The 19,944-nt window shown below is 37.5% G+C and overlaps 1 protein-coding gene and 1 long non-coding RNA gene across 5 annotated transcripts in view, besides 1 other annotated feature; one reads left to right on the top strand and one right to left on the bottom strand.

Annotated features, from left to right (window-relative positions):
• MAP3K1 (mitogen-activated protein kinase kinase kinase 1) overlaps positions 1-11,875 on the top strand; it is an 80,604-nt gene extending 68,729 nt beyond the window's left edge. For 3 of the 4 annotated variants that reach the window (NM_005921.2, XM_047417219.1, XM_047417220.1), the window contains 5 exons: positions 387-549; positions 1,655-1,786; positions 3,101-3,243; positions 3,949-4,080; positions 9,254-11,875. In NM_005921.2, the coding sequence (NP_005912.1) occupies positions 387-549; positions 1,655-1,786; positions 3,101-3,243; positions 3,949-4,080; positions 9,254-9,403 (720 nt within the window). In that variant the 3' untranslated portion in view covers positions 9,404-11,875. Of the gene's footprint in view, positions 1-386; positions 550-1,654; positions 1,787-3,100; positions 3,244-3,948; positions 4,081-9,253 lie in introns of those variants that run through there. The other variant, XM_047417218.1, reaches the window with a different exon arrangement.
• Positions 12,160-15,789, bottom strand: LOC105378980 (uncharacterized). Its single transcript, XR_948347.4, has 3 exons — positions 15,720-15,789; positions 13,973-14,019; positions 12,160-12,303 (listed from the first exon to the last, which is right to left on the bottom strand). It is a non-coding gene; the product is annotated as an uncharacterized LOC105378980 (long non-coding RNA).
• Positions 15,458-15,627: an enhancer, noted in NCBI's record as "experimental_86245 CRE fragment used in MPRA reporter constructs". NCBI's record gives its function as "activates a minimal promoter by MPRAs in K562 erythroleukemia cells, with activity observed for both the introgressed and non-introgressed 5:56195647 variant alleles {active_cell/tissue: K562}" and the evidence as "EXISTENCE:reporter gene assay evidence [ECO:0000049][PMID:34662402]".
• Positions 15,790-19,944: the final 4,155 nt, after the last annotated feature.

The raw sequence follows: 19,944 nt of genomic DNA on the forward strand, positions 1-19,944 counted from the left end.
GTACTTGTGCGGTGCCATCTTGGGGTTTCAGTGGTTTACTTTTTATTATAACGAGCATACTTAATCAGGATAGGAAAATTATTAAACTTTCATTTTTAAATCATGTTGATTCTTCTCCCATATTTGGGCTTTTCTCATCTTTACTCTGAGACTATTGGAATATTGACTATATCCCAATATTTTTGTCATTTTTCTGATGTTTACTGCTGCTTAAGCTAGATTCTTAGTGTTTAAAAGAGTTTGACTTGGGTTTGTTTAAAGTACATTGCATCCATAAGCATAAATGCCATCTGTTGCTAATAAAGTGCTAGTTTGCATTTGTTCATTTTAGATCAGATTGCTAGTGAAAATATGCAAAACTTTGTGAACGTGTTTATTTGAAACAGGTGACTTATGTCAGAAACACATCTTCTGAGCAAGAAGAAGTAGTAGAAGCACTAAGAGAAGAGATAAGAATGATGAGCCATCTGAATCATCCAAACATCATTAGGATGTTGGGAGCCACGTGTGAGAAGAGCAATTACAATCTCTTCATTGAATGGATGGCAGGTATGTTAATGTTTTAAATTACAAAATAGTAGTACGTGGATTTAACTTTCTGCAATTTAGGAAAAACCAGTTTAATTAAAATTTATTTCTATCAAATAGTTTGGGTTTCTAAAAACAAATCACCCCAATATATTAGTATGAACCACAAATACTTCGTTTTGTATTTCATTTACTATAAATGAAATATTGACTACCTCTACCTTTTAAATTTTTCCAGTGTGTTTTTAAATGATTGTGTAGCATTGTTGTTTTTAATACTTGATATGTATAAGATATGTATATTTCCAGGTAGCCATGATAAATTGGACAGATGAGGAAGTGTTTTAACATAACAATATACAAACAAAATTAACATATAACTTGAAAACTTACTACAAGTAAACTAGCACTGAAGCATAAAGTTGAACCTTGTCATCTGCTGAAATAAATGAAGACTGAGTTTTATTTTGTATTATACAATGTATACAATAAAATTAATGACCTGATGTGATGAACAGATTGTTTGGTTTAACTTCTTAGATTTGTGTGTGTATTTAAGAGTGCATTTCTCTTTACCAGTCAGTTCTTAAGTATGTTATCTGTTGGTTGGTCTTAATAAAGATTTACACTACAGTAGATAGGTTGACTACTATAAACACTTTTAAAAGCGGCTAAATTTGAGACATGTTCCAGGTCAGAGCTAGTAAATGGTAGAATATGACGCCTAACTCTGGGTTTTCTGTTCCTCCTCCCATTCTTTCCACCTTTTACTACATAATATGTTAACATTGTTTACTTTAGTCATTAATAAAGTTGTTTTGTGTATTTTGAGAAGACAGAGAATTGAATTGTACATTTCAGAAATAGTTTAATCCGAAATTGTTAACTTTTACAGCTTTCTGAAATCTTGACTCTCCAATAAACTGGTTTCCCTGTGGGTTCTGTGAAAATGTCTCCTAATTAGTAGGTTTTTGAGATGATACAGGAATATGTTAGTTTTGAAATGTTTTTCTTCTGTTTCAGATGTGAATGTGAGTTCATGCAGTGAAAACTTTAGAAACCAAAGTGTAATAAATACTTTTAATTCTGTCTTAAGTTTATGATAATTATTTCTATTGTCTTATAGGGGGATCGGTGGCTCATTTGCTGAGTAAATATGGAGCCTTCAAAGAATCAGTAGTTATTAACTACACTGAACAGTTACTCCGTGGCCTTTCGTATCTCCATGAAAACCAAATCATTCACAGAGATGTCAAAGGTGAGAATTCTTCTAATTATTATCTAGTGACAATAAAAAAATTAATTTTAAAATTTGGGGCCAGGCACAGTGGCTCACACCTGTAATCCCAGTACTTTGGGAGGTGAAGGCAGGTGGATCACTTGAGGTCAGGAGCTCGAGACCAGCCAGGCCAACATGGTGAAACCCTGTCTCTACTAAAAATACAAAAATTAACAGGGTAAGGTGGCGCATGCCTGTAATCCTGGCTATTTGGGAGGCTGAGACAGGAGAATTGCTTGAACCCGGAAGGCAGAGGTTGAAGTGAGCTGAGATCACACCACTGCACTCTAGCCTGGGTGACAGAGTGAGACTCTGTCTCAAAGAAGAACAAAAAAATGGACCTTTGTTGATAGTTTCTAACAGTGGGATTTTTTTCTCTGAGTAATTCAGAATATTAGAACTGAAATGAGCCTTAGGGATCATTTAATCTGCCTTCCTCGTTTAATAGAAAAGTACATTGAATACAAGAGAGGCTGTGCCTTTTCTACAGTTTTATTGCTAGTTAATGGCAGAAAGTATACAACACAGGTCTCCAGATTCCCTGTCTTGGCCTCATGATACGCTGACTCCCAGAAAGTTCCTTTTCCTGGTTTTATTTTGAATAATTGGGATATTGGGATATCATCAACTTCTTTTAAGAAAAATTCCTTCAAATCCTTTGTAGGTCCCATTATTTTCCTTATCCTTTTCTTTTTTTTGGAGACAGGTTCTCTGTCACTCAGGCTGGAGTGTAGTGTTGCAAACTTGGCACACTGTAACTCATTTCCTGGGCTCAAGTGATCCTCCCACCTCAGCCTCCCAAGTAGCTAGGACAACAGGTGTGCACCACCATGCCTGGCTAATTTTTTATATTTTTTGTAGAGATGGGGTTTTGCCATGTTGCCCCCAGGCTGGTCTTGAACTCCTGGGCTCAAGCGACCCGCTTGCCTCAGCCTCCCACAGTGCTGAGATTACAGGCGTCAGCCACCGTACCTGGCCTCAGTTTATTTTTCTCAAGAGCAAATTTGGTTTTCTGTCATTAGTCTTTTTAGCTAGTATTTGACATAATGTGTTGAAGTAATTTTATAACTTTTTAAATTAAGCTCTAATTATGAATTTAGCGTACGCTAGAGAGAGCTGTGTGCCTTTAGCAAGAATGAAGTGAAAGGAAAAGAGAATAACTGTTTGCACCTCTGACATGTAGTTCACTTCTTTCTTTTGTCATTGTCCTAGTTCATTAGTATTGTACTGGGCTTTTATCTGTCCTTATTTTTGTTTTTAACATACAAGGTCATTTGCTGTGTTTGTTGACAGGTGCCAATTTGCTAATTGACAGCACTGGTCAGAGACTAAGAATTGCAGATTTTGGAGCTGCAGCCAGGTTGGCATCAAAAGGAACTGGTGCAGGAGAGTTTCAGGGACAATTACTGGGGACAATTGCATTTATGGCACCTGAGGTGAGAAGCATCTTTGAGTGTGATGACAGAAAATATTTTGGAATTCTGTGTAACAGCATTATACTAAATTATCTTGCAGTGGTATCCAGTATGTACTTACCAACTAGAAGTCCGTGGCCCTTAAAATACGGTTTTAATAATATCTTTCAGACCCTTATTCTCGACCTTTCTTTGCCTTGGCAATATTCAAAAAACAGGTTTTAATAGATTTACTTAACGGCTGTTACTAATAAAGAATTCTGGGGTAATTTATAGCAGTTGTTTTGTAATAAACTCAAAGTGCACATAAGAAATTTTTAAAAATATTCTCTCTCTATTCTAAAAGGAGATGAGCATACAGAGGCAGCTCCTGTCTGTAGTGGAAGGAGTTTAAGCATTGTTCTTCTGACTCAGCTTCTTCTGTCGTGTTCATAATTCTTCATGTTCATATGTAGTAATGATCTGTTGTCCTCTTGCCACATAGTTTGCTAAGAGCAAAATTCTGTGATGGGACTCTGCTTCAGAATCTCACAATTCTCCAAAATATTTTTGTGCTACCTGGAAAATTAAGCTCATTAATGAAATAAATTAGATATTAGGTAGTCCACAGAATTCCTGTTTGTACCAGTTTTCTCCCTAAAGTAAGGAAGTAGAATCTATAACTACAAAATGGCCTTCTCTTTTTCAAATGAGTCCTATTTCCAAATTAACTCTGATTTATTTTAGGTACTAAGAGGTCAACAGTATGGAAGGAGCTGTGATGTATGGAGTGTTGGCTGTGCTATTATAGAAATGGCTTGTGCAAAACCACCATGGAATGCAGAAAAACACTCCAATCATCTTGCTTTGATATTTAAGGTAATTGTGAGATAAAAATTACTTCTTTGTGCTAAAAGGAGTACAGCAGAATTTGGCAGGAGGCAAATTTTGATGGGTTCTCCCTAACAATCTAGCATGAAGGTAAATAAATAGTCTGTATATTTATTCAGAGAGGATTTGATATACAAGTTTTTTACTTTAAGATGGTGCAAAAGCAATACAAATTTGGTAAAAACCATACTTTGAATTTTGATTTTTGTCTGAGCTAGCAATATGTGCTATGATACACTGGTGATGCTAGGCAGTGGCAGCGAGTCACAGCTCCCAGTCAGCCACACAATCACGAGAGTGAACAACCAATACTCTATAGTGGACTGTGTTGTCAGATGATTTTGCGGAACAGTAGGCTAATGTAGGTATTATAAGCACATTCAAGGTAGGCCAGACTAAGCTATAATGTTTGGCAGGTTAGGTGTATTAACTGCATTTTCAACTTAAAAAAATATCATCAACTTAAAAGGGGTTTATCACGACATAACCTCAGCGTAAGTTGAAGAGCATCTGTGTATGTGTGTATTTCCAGGAGTTGATATTGTCAATGGTGTTGTCAATGTTAGTGACATACATAGTCACTTCTTGTTATTTGAGGTAGTTATGCTCTGTTAAGTTGCTACAAATATTGAATTAGCAAATACTAAAACACTGCTTCTAGAAGAAATATGTAGTGTGTTTATATGTATATGTATGTGTGTATATATATCCATCCATCACTTTAAAAACGTGAAATTCATGCATTTTACATAATTCAAAAATCTTAAAATCTAATTTACCATTTTCTTTTGTTCGTTTGTTTTTTGTTTTTGTTTTTGAGACAGAGTCTCGCTGCAGTGCCCAGGCTGGAGTGCAGTGGCACGATCTCAGCTCACTATAGCCTCCGCTTCCCAGGTTCAGGCAGTTCTCCTGCCTCAGCCTCCCAGGTAGCTGAGACTACAGGCACGCGCCACCATGCCCAGCTAATTTTTGTATTTTTAGTAGAGATGGAGTTTCACCATATTGGCCAGGCTGGTCTCGAACTCCTGACCTCAAGCCCACCTCAGCCTCCCAAAGTACTGGGATTACAGGCGTGAGCCACCACTCCTGGCCTAATTTACTATTTTGTATATTTTAAAAATTCACACCCAAGTCAGTTCAGTCCTGTCTGCCTTTCCTACTTTTTTATAACTCACAAATCCATTCTCTCCTTTTCCACCATAGAATAAGTAATGGTTGATATTCTTAGCTTTTCAGTAGATGTGATGGTTGAAATCATGGGCTTTGGAGTCACACTGACCTAGTTTTAAACCCTGGCTCTACCCCTTAATGGCCATGTAATCATAGGAAAATTATTTTTTGTGTCTACCCTCCATTTTCTCACATGTAAAATTGGTGCAAGAACCCCATGAAGCATGTACTTCGTGGGATTACTATGAAGATAAACAAAATTATACCTAGGCCTTAGTCAAGCACTCAGCCCACACAGTCAGCTCCACCTGCCATAACCTCCTCCAGTGCTCCCCACACTTATTATATAACCTCCTCAGTCACCTCTCTGACAATACCTGTTTTGTATTATCACCTCATTTCCTCTATTCTTTCAGACGTCCCATGTCCGTTCTCTACGTGGTTCAAATTCTTATTCTCTTTAAGGCCCCCATTTTGTGCTTCTCCTGCTTGGGCACCCCCTTTTTACTCATTCCAGATTCTCATAGCATTTTAGTACATACTTGTTTCTGACACTTTGTTTCTTGTTTGCTAGTTATGTTCCTATCTTGCTGCCTCTTTCAAACTAATTCTCCTTGAGGTCCATTCATGTCTGATTCATTTTCTTCTTCCCAGAGTCTTATACAGAAGTTGCTCAATAAATACTCATGGCTAGGATCAATTTGAAAGTTTGATGTTATTTTAAGAGTTTTGATGAGACCCTGGAAACAATTGTAAATAATTTTCAAATTGGCACAGTTCATATTTTAACAGATTTCATTGCATTCTCCTTCCTAGGTAGAGTTTAAAGAGAATTGTACTGTAACATTTTCAGTTTCCTTAATTTGGAGTAAATACTTTGAGGTTTTTGGAAGCACCCCAAAGCTTTCTCAAACACTTCCATACCCTGTTTATGGTAGTATAAATTGCCATAGCACGTTTTTTTAGAGAGTGATTTGGCAATATCTGCCAGAATTTTTAATGCACTTATTCTTTGACTCAGCTATGCCCATTGTTAGGAATTTACTCAAGATTACCTCTAGAAGTACCAAGTGCCAAGTTCAGGATTATTCACTCTACTCAAGAAAGTAATTAAATTATCCACACTATACAGAAATTAAACGAGTATGAAGCTGTTGGTGTTGATTTACAAAGTGCTACAAGATACATTAATAAGTGAAAAGAGCAAGGTATATAAAGTGATCCTGGCCAAGCACAGTGGCTCATGCCTGTAATCCCAGCACTTTGGGAGGCTGAGGCAAGAACAAAACTTGAACCCAGGAGTTGGAGAGCAGCCTGGGCATAGCGAGACCCCATCTCTACCAAAAAAAAAAAAAAATTAGCTGGGCATAGTGAGACGCACCTGTGCTCCAGGGTACTCAGGAGGTTGAGGTGGGAGGATCGCTTGAGCCCAGGAGGTCAAAGCTGCAGTGAGCCATGTTCATATCACTGCACTTCAGCCTGGGTGACAGTGAGAGCGAGACCCTGTCTCTAAATTAAGTTTTCTCTTTTGTAGACATTTTAGAAAATCTTAAGTCTGTGAATATATTGGCCTTTTTTCCTCCACAAAACACACACAGACACACACACACCCCCCCCCCCCACACACACACACACAAATCATCAGTAAGTTACATTTGGGGAAAAGAAGGAAGAGGGACTTTTTTTGTTTTGTATTTTTCCTTTTTGTGGTGTGTAAGATGTGTATATATCAGCTGAGTATATCATGATACAGGATCACAGACCTTAGAGGATTTTTCTTTATATTACTTTGCATTTTTTAACCCAAAGCATTTATGAAATTACTGGGGTAGGGAAAAGAGAGTTTTCTTGTGATTAGGAGTGGATAGGTGAGTTTAAAGTATTCAGACTTGATATTAGCCCTTTGTCAGATGAGTAGATTGCAAAAATTTTCTCCCATTCTGTAGGTTGCCTGTTCACTCTGATGGTAGTTTCTTTTGCTCTGCAGAAGCGCTTTAGTTTAATTAGATCCCATTTGTCAATTTTGGCTTTTGTTGCCATTGCTTTTGGTGTTTTAGACATGAAGTCCTTGCCCATGCCTATGTCCTGAATGGTATTGCCTAGGTTTTCTTCTAGGGTTTTTATGGTTTTAGGTCTAACATTTAAGTCTTTAATCCATCTTGAATTTTTTTATAAGGTGTAAGGAAGGGATCCAGTTTCAGCTTTCTACATATGGCTAGCCAGTTTTCCCAGAACCATTTCTTAAATAGGGAATCATTTCCCCATTTCTTGTTTTTGTCAGGTTTGTCAAAGATCAGATGGTTGTAGATGTGTGGGATTATTTCTGAGGGCCCTATTCTGTTCCATTGGTCTATATCTCTGTTTTGGCACCAGTACCATGCTGTTTTGGTTACTGTAGCCTTGTAGTATAGTTTGAAGTCAGGTAGCATGATGCCTCCAGCTTTGTTCTTTTGGCTTAGGATTGACTTGGCAATGTGGGCTCTTTTTTGGTTCCATATGAACTTAAGTAGTTTTTTCCAATTCTGTGAAGAAAGTCATTGGTAGCTTGATGGGGACGGCATTGAATCTATGAATTACCTTGGGCAGTATGGCCATTTTCACGATATCGATTCTTCCTATCCATGAGCATGGAATGTTCTTCCATTTGTTTGTGTCCTCTTTTATTTCATTGAGCACTGGTTTGTAGTTCTTGAAGAGGTCCTTCACATCCCTTGTAAGTTGGATTCCTAGGTATTTTATTCTCTTTGAAGCAATTGTGAATGGGAGTTCACTCATGATTTGGCTGTTTGTCTGTTATTGGTGTATAAGAATGCTTGTGATTTTTGCACATTGATTTTGTATCCTGAGACTTTGCTGAAGTTGCTTATCAGCTTAATGAAACTGAAGAATGCTAAAGACAAGAAGGAACCAAAGAGAAAAGACAAATTACAAGAAAAAAAATTGATAACAATTATATGGATAACAGAATACAGCAGCAACAAGAGAATTCAAAAGACAAATTGTACCTTCTAGTGATTGAAATAAAATAACAGTTAACCTAGGATTTCATAGCTAGCTAAATGATCATCAAAAAATAAGAATGAAATAGAGATATTTTCAGACACATGAGAATTGTGGAAGTTTACCTTCAGCAGACACTCACTGAAAAAAATTATTTTTAGGAATGCATTTCAAGAAGAAGAAAATTGATACCACAAATAGGGAGATATGCAAGAAAGACACTATCTCTGCCTGGAGTCAGCTCTGATTCATAATGGGTGCTCAAAAATTGTTAGAAAACTAATACTTTTTTTTATATATGACTTGAAATTAAAATATGGTTATTGCAGCACAAATTTTAGAATGTAAAGAGTGTATCACAATTTAAAAATAATTATCAGATTTTGAATTTTTTTAGAAAAACTACAAATAAGACCAAATAAAATTTCTTTTTTTTTAAAAAAAAAGTATTCAGACTTACAATTTGTTTATAAAAAAGTTATTCTTCATAGTGTATTTGATACTAAGAATCAGAATTTGTCCAACACGGAAGGAAAAAAACAATGCAGTTGTGTTTTCTATGTATTAAATTGACTCTTCAGTTTTAGTCTTTCTTAATCTAAATAGCTCTGTATGCTGAAGAAATAGAAAACGTGCAGTAAGAACAAACCATCTCGGAGATTGAATATGAGGACAGCAGAATTCATTTGAGTGAATACTTTATCTACCTGAACATTTTGATGTACTTAGCCTTGTTGATGTAAATAATAAGGAATAGGATATATTTGATCAAATCCTAAAATCCTAAAATTTGAAAGATTGTTAGAGAAAACCTCCCATCCAGTGGATGAATTTTTTCATAGACTTTTTGATAGCAGAAAATCCTCCCACTTCTGCTTCAGTTCCTCTCTGTTCAGGATGTAAATGTAAGGGTTATGAGGTCTATGCACATGTGTTTCTGTATCAGAAGTTACAGTTGTGCAAAGCTTCAACACTGGCTTTTTCTCCACAGATTGCTAGTGCAACTACTGCTCCATCGATCCCTTCACATTTGTCTCCTGGTTTACGAGATGTGGCTCTTCGTTGTTTAGAACTTCAACCTCAGGACAGACCTCCATCAAGAGAGCTACTGAAGCATCCAGTCTTTCGTACTACATGGTAGCCAATTATGCAGATCAACTACAGTAGAAACAGGATGCTCAACAAGAGAAAAAAAACTTGTGGGGAACCACATTGATATTCTACTGGCCATGATGCCACTGAACAGCTATGAACGAGGCCAGTGGGGAACCCTTACCTAAGTATGTGATTGACAAATCATGATCTGTACCTAAGCTCAGTATGCAAAAGCCCAAACTAGTGCAGAAACTGTAAACTGTGCCTTTCAAAGAACTGGCCCTAGGTGAACAGGAAAACAATGAAGTTTGCATGACTAAATTGCAGAAGCATAATTTTATTTTTTTGGAGCACTTTTTCAGCAATATTAGCGGCTGAGGGGCTCAGGATCTATTTTAATATTTCAATTATTCTTCCATTTCATATAGTGATCACAAGCAGGGGGTTCTGCAATTCCGTTCAAATTTTTTGTCACTGGCTATAAAATCAGTATCTGCCTCTTTTAGGTCAGAGTATGCTATGAGTAGCAATACATACATATATTTTTAAAAGTTGATACTTCTTTATGACCCACAGTTGACCTTTATTTTCTTAAATACCAGGGCAGTTGTGGCTCATTGTGCATTTTACTGTTGGCCCATTCATTTCGTTTTTGGAAATTATGGTTTTGTATTTTCATGTTTATTTACATTCATTTTTGTTTATTCAGGGAAAGCTGATCTTTTTTTCAAACCAGAAAAAAAAAATGAACTAGATATGAAGTAGAGTTCATTAAATATCTTGCTATTGTCAGAGTTTTTAAAATATAGACTTAATTTTGTTTTTTTAAATTGGAATACAATAAAGTACTACCTACATTTGAGTCAGTCACCACTCTTATTGTGCAGGTTAAGTACAAGTTAACTAAAAATAAACTGTCCTCTCTGGTGCAACTCACAACCAAGATCAAGATTACCTTAAAATTTATTTGAATTTTTTAGATGTTTTGGTTGTCAAACTGTAGGAAACTTCACAACATTTAAGTCTTACTCTGTATGTAACAATCCATCATTCACCTTCACTACTGGTAGTAACATAGAGCTGCCATTTTCCTTTTACCATGCATCATCTCTTTACAGTAGGCCTGGCAGATCATTTTTTAAAAAGATTATTCAACTACCAATCAGTAATGTTTTTAAACAGTACATTTGCTTTGAACTTGGAAAATGTGTTCAGAAAGAAAAATGGAATTGAATTTCATTTATACACTAATTCCTTGGATTTTGCACAGTTACCTAACGGTTTTAGTCTGGAGTTAAATTCAGATGCATGGAATCCTGAAGGAAAATGGTAGCTTTTTAATCTTTTTGTGTGTGTGTGAGTCTTTTAAATCAAGTACTGATTAACTATTAAGTACAACTTTGAGATTTTAGTTTTAACTCTTCAGAAGCCAGTGTGAAATAGAATTGGTTATTCTCAAAGACTCAGGATAAACTAAATAAGCTATATATAGAGTACATTTAAAATGTACAACACAAATTGGAAATAAAATAAGTTACAAGATAAGTTTACAGGGATATATTGCTTACAATTTTTAAAAGGCAGTTTGTTTTTTATGTGAATATGTTTCTTAGTGAAATTTTACATTCCTTTGTTTTGGAAGATTGGCGATATTTGAAGAGTTAAAAATAGTACAGAAATGTGAAGTTTGGTATCTCTAAATGTGTTGTACTTGACTTTCTTTTTTATTTTGTTTTTTTTTTTTTTTGACTACTTAGAATTTTCACAATTCTAATAAGATTGTTTCCAAGTCTCTCATGTGCAAGCTTTAAAGGATGCACTCTTGCCATTTTATGTACTGGAAGATCATTGGTCAGATGAATACTGTGTCTGACAAAAATGTAAACTGTATAAACTGAGGAACCTCAGCTAATCAGTATTACTTTGTAGATCACCATGCCCACCACATTTCAAACTCAAACTATCTGTAGATTTCAAAATCCATTGTGTTTGAGTTTGTTTGCAGTTCCCTCAGCTTGCTGGTAATTGTGGTGTTTTGTTTTTTGTTTTGTTTTCAATGCAAATGTGATGTAATATTCTTATTTTCTTTGGATCAAAGCTGGACTGGAAATTGTATCGTGTAATTATTTTTGTGTTCTTAATGTTATTTGGTACTCAAGTTGTAAATAACGTCTACTACTGTTTATTCCAGTTTCTACTACCTCAGGTGTCCTATAGATTTTTCTTCTACCAAAGTTCACTTTCACAATGAAATTATATTTGCTGTGTGACTATGATTCCTAAGATTTCCAGGGCTTAAGGGCTAACTTCTATTAGCACCTTACTGTGTAAGCAAATGTTACAAAAAAAAAAAAAAAAAATCTCTGGGTTAAGAAAATTTGGCTTAAATGTATCCTTTGTTATTTTAAATATATTGAGATATTTTAATTAAAATTTTTACCCCATTGAACCGATTTTATAGTATTTGTACCTATTTTGGTGTTTTTGTCTTTATAGTAAATAAAAGTTTTTGAACAAATGTTGTTACTTTTATTTATTTTGAAATAATTTCATACTTATATAAAAGTTGCAAGAATACCACAGAGAACTTCTGTATACCCTTCACCCAAAGACCCCAGTCAGGTTTCACCAGCTGCCCATTTATGTCCTTTATAGCAAGAGGATCCAAACCAGGATCACATGTTGCTCTCAGTTGTCATGTTTCTTCAGTCTCATTGAATCCAGGGCCATTCCTTAGTTCTTCCTTGACCTTAATGGCCTTAATTTTTTAAAGATTTCAGATTATTGTTTTATAGAAGCTCTTCAAATTGAGTTTGTCTGGTGCTGCTTCTTGATTAGATTCAGAGTATGCACTTTTGGCAGGAACATCACAGAGGTGATGCTGTGCTCCTCTCGGTGTGTCATGTCAGGAGGCATAGAGGTCGTTTGCCCCATCACTGGTGATAACTGATAGTAACACTGTATAGTTAGTCTTTCCTTTTATAATTAAAATCCACCTTTATAATTGGAAGTATTCTTTGGGGGTGATATTAGAGACTACATAAATATGATGTTTCTTGCCCAGTTTTAACTCTGCTCTTAGCTTTTTTGCCTGAATATATTACTCTGATGGTTGCCAAATGGTGATGTAGTTCCTTCACTTTTTCTTTGCAACATTTTGCTGCAAAGAAGAGCTTTCCCTTCTCCCATTTATTTATCATGTATCATCATATATTTGCTCAACTTGTTGCGGATTTGCCCAGTGGGAATGTCTGAGAGCTAGCTTCTCTATCCTTGGCAAGCCACCATTATTCTTTGAACACTTCCATACTTTCAGCCCCATCTTACGCAATGTCTCCTTTGGCCCTGGAATCAGCCATTTTCCCAAAGAGCCCTGATTCCTTTGATAGAGAATGGTATGTTTAAAACCAACATCTGGGTGCTAGATAGGCTCAATTCTACTGGATGTCACCACTCCTTGGCTGTCTTGGTAGAGCTAGAATGTATTTATGAATATGCACAGTTCGGTGCACACTTGCAAAGTACGCATACATATACCTACCTACATACATAAAAACCATGAGCTCACACCAACCTTCCAACTGCAATCCAACACCAACAGGGTTCATTCAAGCTTTCCCTTTTTCCAAATTTGTAACTTTCTTCTCAGGCAGTGAGAATCATGACTGATTATTCCCAACATATTGACTTACTTGCTTAATTCTTCCTCATGTCCCTCCCCCATGTAACCGATCTCCATGCAAAATGGTTAATGTTGCTGAGTTCAGAAGCCATTTTGTTTCTCTACATTGGTTTCAAGTTTCTGTATAATTTGATTTGTTGTTTTTTTTGTTTTTTTTTTTTTTTTTTTTTTTGAGACAGTCTCACTCTGTTGTCCACGTTGAAGTGCAGTGGCACAATCTCAGCTCACTAAAGGCTCTGCCTCCCAGGTTCAAAGGATGCTCCTGCCTCAGCCTCCCGAGTAGCTGGGATTACAGGTGGACACCACCATGCCTGTCTAATTCTTGTATTTTTAGTAGAGACAAGGTTTCACCATGTTGGCCAGGCTGGTCTCGAATTCCTGACCTCAGGTGAACCACCTGCCTCGGCCTCCCAAAGTATAATTTGATTTTAAATGTAAGTCTTTTAAATAGGTTTTGGGTATTTTTTGCAAAAGGGTACATTTCTGTCACTTAAAAATATTAAGTTGGAGAAAAGTTTTTTTTCCAGATGAAGTAATAGAACCAATTCTATTGCTCCTTAATTCTATTTAAATGATATTAATAATTTTATAAAATGGGTGACAGTCTTCATGTCAGAATCCAGAAAAATGTTGGGGTATTGTGCTCATAGAAATGCCAATGATTGCATTTATGAGCTGATGTAAGTCATTTGTTATAAAACAATGCATGAAATAACTACAGTGAGGGAAAACTGACTAATGGAAACTTATACAAATTGCTGTCTTTCTATGTCATGACGTGGTTTGGCCGTTTTAAATTATACTATAAGCATAAATGCCAGGTTGAGCTGTGATTAAAAAGGAAAGGACGGGCCTCTTAAAGTAGGTAACGACGGATGCAGTGACTACAGGACCTGAGATACAACCTGGGTTAAATCTGGTTCTGCCACTTACCTGCTACGTGACCCCCATTTTGACTTTCTGAACCTCCATTTCTGCATCTATAAAATGAAAGTGACAGTGTCGTGAGAAGTGAGAGCCTATATAAATGGCCTAGAATAGTATCTGGCATGTAGTGAATGCACAAGATGTGTTTTTATGAATGAATGACCCAAAGGTCACAGACTCAAACCACCCATGGGACTAGATCCCCAGCAAGGCTTGTGGCGGACCTAAGAGTTTGCGTCAAGTTCATGTACAAGGGAGGTCATAGTTACCATGTCAGAATGAAAGCCCAGTATTGTCAAATCCTCTAAATTTTCAAGAGAAGCTGGAAATCTGGATTTTAGGTGCAATTCCCTGATGTTTAAACATTAAAAACTAATTTAAATCCTTATTAAGAACTATAAAAATTATTTGGGCTAGACTACTGTCCTGTGGCTGACTACCTTTTGACCTCTGATCTGTGCCCAGGCTTAGAAAACAAAAAAGGTAGAAAATTAGACGAGAATCTCAGCTTTGGGAAATTGGATCTAAGACTTTTGTCTTTTTTTTTTTTTTTTTTTTTTTTTTTTTTTGAGACAGAATCTCACTCTGTGACCAGGCTGGAGTGCAGTGGTGTGATCTCGGCTCACTGCAACCTCCAACTCCCTGATTTAAGTGATTTTCCTGCCTCGGCCTCCCAAGTAGTGGGATTACAGGCACGTGCCACCACATCCAGCTAATTTTTTTGTATTTTTAGTAGAGACGGGGTTTCACCATGTTGGCCAGGATGGTCTCGATCTCCTGACGTCGTGATCTGCCCGCCTCAGCCTCCCAAAGTGCTGGGGTTATAGGCATGAGCCACCATTCCCGGCCAAGACTTTTGTCTTCCAAGATGTGAGATGAACAAAAGTGGAGATGCTGATTATAGATGCTAGACAGCTTACCTCTGAAGAGAAAATTAATGTCTTAACTACACACACTAATGTGAAATGCTTACCACTACAGCTCAAGTATCATGTTACAAAATATTAATATGCATATGTAGCATTCAAATATGTTGTCGATGTTAGAGTTAACTTTGTAGGTCTTATTTTGCAATAGATAACTGTCTGCACAGTCCGTTACCAAAAGAACTCCATCGATGACTGAAGCCAGTCTCATTAGTTGGTATGCAACCTGACATCTCTATACCCCATGCCTCATGGCCCTAGGTTGTAACTTATTACATCTGTAGAGGTAAAACCAGCCTAAGCTGATGTGGCAAGGGATAAATCCTTCATGCCCCAAAATTCTTTTTCCCACAATGCTGAGATTCCTGTTAGAGTTTATTTTTGAGATAACTAAGTGATAGCTTCCCTTAAGGTCAATTTACTTAATAAGATTTCTCAACATCTATGTAGACATACTGAGAGGATGAGGGTTGTAACTAGGGTGAAATGGAGAGAAAGGATAGGAGGAGAAATAAAAAGATGGGGAGATATTGAAAAATCTTTGGCAGAGAGTGGCATGACGATATTTGTGCGTTAGAAAGAGCACCCTTGCAGTACCTTGAAGAAAGAATTACATGGGCCAGTACAAAAGGCAGAGAGAAAGTCAGAAGGCAATTGCAGTATCCAGAACCTAGGTGAAGGTAGCATCATGGGAATGAGGAGGAAGAGACAAATCTGAGCGATATTAAACAGCAGAATTGAAAGATTGTAGAAATGATCTTGGGGGAAGGGTATGCGGAGGATGGAGAATGACATCGAGGATGCGTCTGCTATCCAGGCTTGGTCACCTGTGTGAACGCTGGTGCCATTACTGATACAAGGAAATCACAGGGGGAGTAGGTTGGAGGACAAGATGTGCTTTGGCCATGTTAAAATATTCGAGTTGCCTGGAGGATATCCAAGTAGAAGTTTCCAGTAATACTGTATATGCACATGAGTACCTCCAGAGATACTTTGGTTGCAAATAATAAATGTGCAAGCTATTGACATATAAATGGTCACTGAAGCGATTGATATATCATTTAGGGTTGTACTCAGCTGCACGTAAAAGTGACTGGACTACATAGCCTACAAATGAGAGAAGGTAAGCAGGTCAGGGCTGGTGTATTAGGCCTAGGGTGTCATCAATGTTGCCATGCTTTATCTTCCCGCTCCACTCTTCTCAGCATGAGGCTTTCACCCTCAGGCTCCAACTCTGATCTCCAATCTACAATCAGGGAAAGAAAAAGGAGAATAAAAAGGTAGTGCCTGTGTCAGGAAGACAGAAACTTTCCTTAAAATGCTTACGAGATTTTCACTCACATTTCATTTGACTAGAACTCCCTAGCTATAAGGAAGTCTGAGAAGAATGGACATCAAGCAGGCAACTCTACAGCATCTACCACAATGAGTCACAAGGGAAACGGGGGAGAATACTCAGGAGAATATGTTCAGTGAGGAAAAACCAAGACCAGAACCCCGATGAAGACCAAGATTTAAGGCATAGACAAGAAGCAGAATAGATAAAGGAGACAAGAGCTCATCTTCAGAAACTAGAAACGCACAGGGTCAGGGAAATCAAGAGAGGAGAATGTTTTAAAGAAAGGTCAGTAATTTCAAAAGCCACAGACGTCAGGTAAGATAAGAACTTAAGTCTCACAAGGTGAATGGCAAGGACCATTCCAGTGAAGCCGACTAGAAGGAAACATGATCATAGCTGGGCAAGCATGGTCATGGAGATGATGTGCATAGCCTACTTTGTCCAGAAGTCTGTCTAGGAGCAAAAGTGAAGGGAACAACGTGGAAGAATTATTTGGGCAATTATGCAACCTCCAGAAGAGGGCAGCAGAGTAAAACTTTTAATTTGCACTGCCTGCCAGATATCTGAAAATCAAAGGTTATCTCACCCCTTCCTCAGGAATAGAGCAGAAATCTCAGTGTTCCCCCTTAGAATACTGAAAAAAACTCAAAACTATCACTAAGAGTTGCATTTTTCCATTCTAAAACCTAGATTCTATGCTTATCTATTGCATAACAGGGTATTCCTAGTCCCTCTACCCGCTCCTAACAGTCTACAACAAAAGGAGAGGCTGTAGCAAGATACTTGATGCCCTTTCCTGGTCTCTTGTTCTCAGAACCACTCTACTCTCAGCTGGCTGGGTCATCCATCCATTCATCCATCCATCCATCCATCCAACCATCCATCCATCCATCCATCCATCCATCCATCCATCCATCCATCCATCTGTCCATCCATCCATCCATATCCATCCATGCATCTATCCATCCATGCATCCTGCCAACTACTGTTCCTCTGAGCTTTTCAAACTCTATTTCCAGCTAGTACTCTGCTACTAGAACATTCAATGACTATCTACTGCTGACTACCTCAAATGTCCATGTTTTTTAATGGTCTGACCTTATTCTGCCTAAATCTTTATTTCCTACTATCCGTAATACAAAATTTCTGTTCTACTCCTTTCGTTACATTCCTGCTCTCTGAATCCATTGTGTTCCACCCCACCTCTGCACCTTCCCTCACACCAGTGGTTTTCAAACTTTTTGTTCTCAGAGCAGTCAAGAAGTGCTGCCACAGAACCTTCCAGTCGATTCCCAAGACTGCCAAAACTAGCTGGTGTACTACATACCTATATGGAGCATGCTGCACAGTATAGTCCTAATAGATTTGTATATTTATTACATTTTTTTACAGTCGATGGCAGTAAAGTGGCCAAAGGAAAAGGTGCCTTTTGCTAATTCATACAAAGACTAGCAGAGATCATTTTCTCCTCCTTTTTATGCAATATTTTAGGTCCTGCAGCACAAAATTATTTTAAAATACTTTGTCTAATATCATCAATATGTAACATACTACTATAATTCATAGAACTGGTATTAACTACAACATTCAATGAAGTGTCACATACTTTCCTTCTCAAAATTTTGAATCACAATATGTGGTTCTAACACTCAATTTCCCAAATATTTTTGTCTTCAGACCCCATTACACTTTTAAAAATTATCAGAAGCCCCCAAGGACCTTTTGTTCATGTGGTTAATAGCTGCTATTTACTGTATCAATATTAAAACTGATAAATACATAAAAATGCATTAATTCACTAGAAATAACTATTAAAACTTATTACATGTTAAATCAGATAACATATCTTTATGAAAATAGCTATATTTCACCCCCCAAAAAATAGGAAGAGTGGCATGTTTTATATTTTTTTCAAATCTATATAATTTTTTTTTTTTTTGAGAGGGAGTCTCACTCTGTCACCCAGACGAGAGTGCAGTGGCGCCATCTCAGCTCACTGCAACCTCTGCCTCCCGGGTTCAAGCAATTCTCGTGCCTCAGCCTCCCGAGTAGCTGGGATTACAGGCACCCACCATCATGCCCAGCTAATTTTTATATTTTTAATAGAGACAGGTTTTCACCATGTTGGCCAGGCTGGTGTCAAACTCCTGACCTCAAGGGATTCGCCCGCCTTGGCCTCCCAAAGTGCTGGGATTACAGGCGTGAGCCACTGTGCCTGGCCAAATCTATGTAATTTCTAACTTAATACAAGGCAGTTGGATCCTCATATCTGCTTGTGCATTCAATCTGTTGTTTTATCACACATCATGTAACCTCTGGAAACTCCACTGTACCCTCAAGAAAGAATGAGAGTAAAGACAAATACAACTTAGTATGATTAAGAAAATAATTTTGACCTCATAGAGCCCAGAAAAAATCCTAGGGACCCCCAGGGTCCCCAGGCCACATTTGAGAATTGCTGGCTTCTGTTAATCCCTTCCACTTCTCTTCTACTTATTTCTCCTTGAAGCACTCCCCAACTCCAGTAGCTCACACTGAAATTCTATGGTAATTAATATTTAATTTTTAGAAATTATATGTTTTCCCAAGTAGACTGTAATCTTTTAAAGTTGTACCTAGGCATACAGTTTTCAATGAATAAATATTTGCCAGTTATGTTACCCACATTAGACTACATAGCTATTCAAATAGCCTACAGAATATCCACTATCTCTAACTATTATCTCTCTTCCAGCACAGAATTGTGAAATCAAAGTTGTGCCTGCTACTTCCTCTGTCCCCCTGACACCCAATAAACACACACACACACACACCACATTTTCCTTCTCTGTGTTGGGTCATTCCCATCAACACACAAATATGCTACGAGATCTTTTATCTTACTGAATTATTCTCTGCCTTTGGCTCCATTTCTCTTCTTCTCTTTCCATAAAATTTACTGAAAGAGACACACACACTTGTTTCCCATTCCTCACCTCACATTTGCTTCTCAACGCACTCAAACACACTCAAACCTATCACCAAAACTGCTTTTGACCAAGTTATGAGGGTTCTGCATTTATTGACAGGTGACTTCATGGTCACTGCTCAATCTATGTTCTTTGCCATCCCCCTTTTCTTCCTAGGTGATCTCATCCAGGGCTCTGGCTAAAGACTCTATCACCAGCTATGGCTTCGGAGCTCCAGATGTGACAATATTCAACTAGATACTTGACATTTCTTGGAGGCATTTCAAAACTTCACCTTCCCATATCGAATCCATTGGCAAGTCCTGTGAGTTCCTCCAAAATAGAATCCTAATCCATCCACCCTCTCCATCTCCACAGTTACCATTCTAGTCTAAGCTACCATCATCTCTGCCTAAACTACTGTATTCACCTCCTAATTGGCCTTACCGGTGTGGTGATTGCCCACCTTTTCACCACATAATATCCAAAGTGATCTTTTTAAAACATGAATCAGATCCTATTACCCTCCTGCTTAAAACCCTCCAGTGGCTTCCCATTACACTAAGAATCCCAACTCCTCACCAGGACCTACAGGACTTGGCATCTTCTCTTTCTCCCTGACTTCATCTTTCACTTTTTCTTACTTACCCTGTTCCATAACCTTATTTTCCCTGCTTGAACATGTGAAGCTCCTCCCCACCCATGCTTGTCCATTTGCATTGCAATAAGGAACACCTGAGACTGAATAATTTATAAAGAAAAGAG

The sequence above is a fragment of the Homo sapiens genome, chromosome 5 (genome assembly GCF_000001405.40).
Source record: "Homo sapiens chromosome 5, GRCh38.p14 Primary Assembly".
In the NCBI taxonomy this organism is placed as follows: domain Eukaryota; kingdom Metazoa; phylum Chordata; class Mammalia; order Primates; family Hominidae; genus Homo; species Homo sapiens.